We start from the raw sequence: 7,171 nt of genomic DNA, 5'->3' as shown, positions 1-7,171 counted from the left end.
GCTACTAGGGAGGCTGAGGCAGGAGAATCACTTAAGCCCAGGAGGTGGAGGTTGCAGTGAGCTGAGATTGCACCACTGCACTCCAGCCTGGGTGACAGAGCAAGATTCCATCTAAAAAAAAAAAAAAAACAAAAAAAAAAACCTGGTCCAACTTCGCAGCCATCCAACCATTTGCTAAATAGCTTCACTAAAAAATTATTTGTTGTCAATGCATATGTTCTGAAAATATATCCATCAAAACAGTACTGTTGTTCTCACTGATTGGGAGATTCAGAAGTTTTACTTTGAGTATTTTTGGTGTTAAATAGAAATAGTCTTTTGCACTACTAACAAGGTTGTCAGACTCAAAAAACATGTAACCAATTATCTAAATCACCATTGATATTCTCCAATTAATATAAAAGCTAATTCATGCCCAAACATAACAAACGAGACCTCATCATCTATGCCTACATCAGTTTAACAAGTCAATATTTTGAAGGTATGTAATCTTGTTGAAGTACAAAATGCAGAGTTATATTTGAAAGATATACTTAACTGTATCTCCATCAGCAGGTATTTGTGTGGGCATATACATTGTTCTTTCTGCCATGCCACACTAAAAGAGCTGAAAATAAAAAAAAATGAACATTTTTAAAAATTACTTACAAAGACTATATTCTTGCTATAAAATTTAGATCAATTTGGGGGCATAATATAGGTATTTTTATAAGTTTTAGTTTTTAGTTCACACTATTGATCTGTTTTAAACTGTGCCTGTCTTGCTAGATGGGGTTCTATATAATGAATAATATGTAATATTCAACTTATAATGTAGAGTAATACATTTGTCCATAAGCACACAAAAAGCATCTTAAACTCTCTTTGGAAATCAAGAGGATAAGAGCACTCTTCTTCTTTAAATGACTCTTTGGTCATAAAAAAGGAAAGTAGAAATTTTTGCTTTAAAAATGGTTAAAAAAAAAAAAAGTAAGACACTCATAAGCACTTAACTTTCCAGAGTAGCATTCCAGAGGAGGCTTGGGTATTCGAGTCTACCCATTGAAAGGAAATTGTGAAAGCAGACCTTATACAATCTAAAAGGGTCCTATAGACACTGAACTAAAATAATGATAATTCTCACTTATGAAGCATCTATTATGCACCTAGCATTGTGCTAAGGGTTTATGTGCTTTATTTACCTCCACAAGTCCTCATAGTAGATCTGAGATATACGTATTTTCATTGCCATATGCCAGGTGAAAAAATTCAAACTCAGAATGATTAAGTAACTTACTTTCCCAGGGATTCAGCTGTGCAGCAGACACAGGTCCGAACTGATTCCAAGCTGGTCTCCTTTCCACTGTCCCAAGTTGTGGACCAAATAAATATTCACTGTGTTTGTAACAGTTGGGAACAGGGAGGAGAGGTACAAGACAGCGTGCTGTGCTCATCTCCAAGCAGAACTGCCTGAGAAGGCCATGCTACCCTACTTTTGAACACAGCGCAAAGATACTAAAAATATGAGGCATGTTTCAAAAGGAAATATTATATATTCATAAAACAAATATTTGAAATATTTGAGAAGCAAACAGAATCAAAGAATGGCTCTGTGCCATAATCTCTTCACTTGCTCTATCTTGAGGATTATTGCACTTTAGTATTCAAATGTATATCATTTTCCCTAAAATTAAACAAGGTTTCCTGATATAGACAGAGTTCTGTTTTGTTGTATGGTTTACTCTATTCCAGTATATACAAAGGTTTTTTAATTTATTTATCAGAAACTTAATGGTGGACATTGCAGTAATTTCCACCCTTTAATAGAAATCAGCAATAAGCATTGTTGATTTAAGTCAACAATGTTTGGCTGGGCACAGTGGCTCGTGCCTATAATCCCAGCACTTTGGGATGCCAAGGCAGGAAGATCACTTGAGGCCAGAAGTTTGAGACCAGACTGGCCAACAAAGCAAAATCCCGTCTCTACTAAAAATACAAAACTTAGCCGGGCATAGTGGCACAGGCCTGTAATCCCAGCTACTCAGGAGGCTGAGGCATGTGTATTGCTTGGACCCAGAAGGTGGAGGCTGCAGTGAGCCAAGATCTCACCATGCACTCCAGCCTGGGTGACAGAACAAGACTCTGACTCAAATAAATAAATAAATAAATAAATAAATAAATAAATAAATAAATAACAATGTTTATTTAAATCAACAATAATATTGTTTTTGAAATATTGTAGTAATTAGAAGTAAATTACTACAAATTCATAAGTCTCTATCTCTGTATAATGGCTGAATTTTTGGCAAATCTGCCAAAATTCATTTAGGAACTAGAGACACAACTTGTCTTGTATTTAAAAGCCTAATTAAATGTCTCAGACAAAGAGGGATTTATTTCTTTCACATAAGTCTAGAGCAGAAGTTCTCAAATTACGATCACTGGGCCTTGAGGATTCCTGAGACTCTTTTGGGGGGCCCATGGGTTCAATTTTTTTTTCTAATAACACTAGGGTTTTTTGTTTTTTTGCTTTCATTTTGAGATAGGGTCTCACTCTGTCACCAACGCTGGAGTGCAGAGGCGCAATCACAACTGACTGCAGTCTTGACCTCCCAAGCTCAAGTGATCCTCCCCACCTCAGCCTCCCAAGTAGATGGGATTACAGACATCTGCCATCACACCCTGCTAATTTTTGTATTTTTTGTAGAGACAGGGTTTTGCCATGTTGCCCAGGCTGATCTTGAACTCCTAAACTCAAGCAATTCTCCTGCCTAGCCTCCCAAATTGTTGTGATTACAGGTGTGAGTAGTATGCCCTCGGCACTTGGCCAATACTAGGGTTTAATTTGCCTTTCCACTCTGTTGATATTTACCCTGATGGTTCAAAAACAATGGGGGTTAAAACTACTGCTACCTTTGGCTGGGCACGTCGGCTCATGCCTGTAATCCCAGCACTTTGGGGGGCCGATGCAGGTGGATCGCCTAAGGTCAGGAGTTCGAGACCAGCCTGGCCAACATGGTGAAACCCCGTCTCTACTAAAAATAGAAAAAAATAGCTGGGCATGGTGGCAGGTACCTGTAATCCCAGCTACTCGGGAGGCTGAGGCAGGAGAATCGCTTGAGCCCGGGAGGCGGAGGTTGCAGTGAGCCGAGATGGCGCCACTGCACTCCAGCCTGGGCAACAAGAGCGAGACACTGTCTCAAAAACAAACAAACAAAAATCTACTGCTACCTTCATAAGAAAATGGCACCAAATTGTATTATTAGTTATTGCATTATTCACCTCACACATTCACAACAACAACAAAAAACAGTAAATAGCCATTAAGTATTTATACTGTATAGAAGTATGATGGTTGTCTTGAGGAAAACAAGTTCTGTGATTGATTGTGTTGTGAGAAATAGGAACTCCTTTTTTCATGGAACATTATTAATTTCAAGTACAATTGAAAAACACTGATTACTTAAGCTTGGGGATTTCTAAGACAGTTTCTTGAAAATGAATGAGGCGTGGTTTGTAACATTAAGAAAAATAACAAGGCGGGCCAGGCACGGTGGCTCACGCCTGTAAGCCCAGCACTTTGGGAGGCCAAGGCGGGCGGATCACGAGGTCAAGAGATCAAGACCATCCTGGCTAACACGGTGGAACCCCTCTCTACTGAAAATACAAAACATTAGCCGGGCGTGGTGGCAGGCGCCTGTAGTCCCAGCTACTCGGGAGGCTGAGGCAGGAGAATGGCGAGAACCCAGGAGGCAGAGCTTGCAGTGAGCCAAGATTGTACCACTGCACTCCAGCCTGGGCAACAGAGCGACATTCAGTCTCAAAAAAAAAAAAAAAAAGAAAAAGAACAAGAAAAAGAACGAGGTGGATCCTGTAATCCCAGCACTTTGGGAGGCTGAAGCAGGGGAACTGCTTGAGCCCGGGAGTCTGAAACCAGGCTGGTCCGCATAGTAAAAGCTGGTCTCCACAAAAGAAAAATTTAAAAATTAGCCAGGCATGGTAGTGTGTGTCTGTAGTCGCAGTTACTCAGCAGGCTGAGGCAGAAAGATTGCTGGAGCCCCAGAGTTTGAGGCTGCAGTGAGCTATGATTGCGCCACTGCACTCCAGCCAGGGCAACAGAGTGAGACCCTGTCCAAAAAAAAAAAAAAAAAGAATGAAAAGAAAACTAACCGAAAATGTACTTTTTAAATGATAAAATTTACATTTTTGTAGATTTTGTGATGTGAGGTTTACTCCTAAAATAGTTTTTAGAGAACTTGTATCAATCATCATGATCTTGATAGCTTTCCAACATTTAAAAACTTTTCTAAAAAGTTTTCTAAAAACATTGGTGGTGATATTAACAATGCAAATGTTTGATATTGCATAATGAAATGTGACAACATTAAATAGATTAAGTTTATTTAATTATTAACTGTTAATTATTAACAGTGTGGAAGTTTCCCAACCTCCACACTGTTAATATATTGGTCTGTATAATTCTTTGTTCTGAAGACTGTTTAATGCACTAGAGTGCTTAGCTGCATATCTGGTCTGTATCCACTAGATGTCACTAGCAACCCCCAAGTGTGGCAACTGACATCTCCAGACATTGGCCAAATTGGAGAGCAAAATAACTCTGAGCTAAGAACTACTAAATTAGATAACTCAGTAAACAGATGTTTTTCTTTCTTTCCTTCTTTCTTTTTTTTTTTTATTGAGATGGAGTCTCACTCTGTCGCCCAGGCTGGAGTGCAGTGGCTCAGTCTCAGCTCACTGAAACCTCCACCTCCTGGGTTCAAGCGATTCTCCTGCCTCAGCCTCCGGAGTAGCTGGGACTACAGTCATGCACCACCACACCCGGCTAATTTTTGTGTGTTTAGTAGAGATGGAGTTTCACCATTTTGGCCAGGCTGGTCTTGAACTCCTGACCTCAGCTGATCCACCCACCTGGGCCTCCCAAAGTGCTAAGATTGATTACAAGTGTGAGTCACTGCACCTGGCCAACAGATGTTTTTCGAGTGACCAATGCTTGACATTACAAAGGTATACATGAGTTCAGGATCCATTTGAAGAGTCAGACTAGATTTTTTTTTAAATTGTATTATACGTTGACAAATTATCATTGTATATATTTATGGGTACAAAGTGATGTCATAAATTTTTAGTATAATATGAAATAATTAAATTAATCAAATGAACATACTCATAACCTGAAATATTTGATTTTTTTGCTAAGAACATTTGAAATGTACTGTCTTAGTAATTTTGAAATGGACAGTGCACAATTATTAAGTATATTCACCAACCTGTGCAATAGATCTCAAAAAGTCCAAACATAATTTTGCTATTTAATTGAGGCCCTGTACCCTTCGATTATCATTTCCACACTCCCACCAGGATACACTCTGCTTCTGAGTATTAAACTCAGAAGTAAAACAATTAGTGTTTTACTTTCCACCTTTACATGAGAACATGTGGTATTTGTCTTTCGGAATTTGCCTTATTTCACTTAACAGAACATTCTCTGATGTCATCCATGTTGTGGGAAATGACAGAATCTCTTACTTTTTAAAGGCTGAATAGTATTCCATGGTGTATACATACATTTTCTCTCTCCATTTATACATTTATGGACACTTAAGATGATTCTATAACTTCATTTTGGAAATAGTGCTGCAATAAACATGGGCGTGCAGACTTGTCTTTGCCATATTAATTTAAATGTAACAAAAGTGTGTGAAAATAGTTTCAGATTTCACATTGCAACTAATCTTGTCCAATTTTGGTGGAGTATGAAGGAATAATATTCACAATCATGTTGGAAGATTACTAAGTGATTCCTTTTACCAACTATGAATCTGTATGAAGCCAGATTTTCTTCAGCAACATTAAGCAAAACAACATATTTCAGGAGACTAAATGTAGAAGCAGATGTAAGAATTCAGCTGTCTTTTTTTCTTTGTACTTTTTTATTGTGGTAAAATAGACATAACATAAAATGTGCCATCTTGATTTTTAAGGGAAAGTTCAGTGGCATTCTGTATATATTCACATTCTTGTGCAACCACCACCACCCTCCATGTCCAGAACTTTAAAAAATCTTCCCAAACTAAAACTTTATATCCATAAACAATAACTACCCTTCCTCCCCTATTTCTGGGACTCACAATTGTACTTTCTGTCTCTATGAACTTCACTACTTTAGGTACCTCATACAAATGGAACTATGTAATATTTGTCCCTTTGTGACTGAATTATTTCACTTAGCATAATGCCTTCAAGGTTCCTCTCTGTTGTAACATGTGTCAGAATTTCATTCCTTTTTAGTGCTAAATGATATTCCATTGTACATACATACCATATATTGCTTATCCATTCATTCATCAGTGGACAGTGGACATTTGGGTACTTCCACCTGTTGGCAATTGTGAATAATGCTGCTGTAAATGTAAGAGTGCAAATGTCTTTTCTAGAAGCTGCCTTCTATTCTTTTGGGCATATACCCTGAGGTGGAACTGGTTAATCATATAGCAATTCTATGTTTAATTTTGTTGCTGTTGTTGTAGTTTGAGACTGAATCTCATTCTGTCGCCCAGCCTGGAGTCCAATGGCGTGATCTTGGCTCACTGCAAACTCCACCTCCCAGGTTCAAGCGATTCTCCTGCCTCAGCCTCCCAAATAGCTGGGATTAGAGGCAGCCACCTCCATGCCCGGCTAATTTTTGTATTTTTGGTAGAGGCGGGGTTTTGCCATCTTGGCCAGGCTGGTTTCAAACTTCTGGCCTCAAATGATCCTCCTGCCTCAGCCTCCCTAAATGCTCGGATTACAGGCATGAGCCACCGCACCCAGCCTCTATGTTTAATTTTTGAAGAAAACCCAAACAGAGCAGCTGCACCATTTTACATTCCCACCAGTCACGCACAGGATGCCATCTTCTCCATGCCTTCACCAGCACGTGCTACTGTCCGGTTTTGGATAGCAGCCATCCTAATGTGTGTGTGAACCCAAAAGTATCTGAGACAGGTCTCAATCAATTTAGAAAGTTTATTTTGCCAAGGTTAATGAAGTTCCTGTGACACAGCATCAGGAGGTCCCAATGATATGTGCCCAAAGTGGTCAGGGGTACAGTTTGCCTTTTTTTTTTTTTTTGAGATGGAGTTTTGCCCAGCTGGAGTCCAATGGTGTCTTCTCAGCTCACTGCAACCTCCGC

This window comes from Homo sapiens, chromosome 8, assembly GCF_000001405.40.
Source record: "Homo sapiens chromosome 8, GRCh38.p14 Primary Assembly".
NCBI lineage: Eukaryota > Metazoa > Chordata > Mammalia > Primates > Hominidae > Homo > Homo sapiens.
This window is presented reverse-complemented; position numbering follows the sequence as displayed.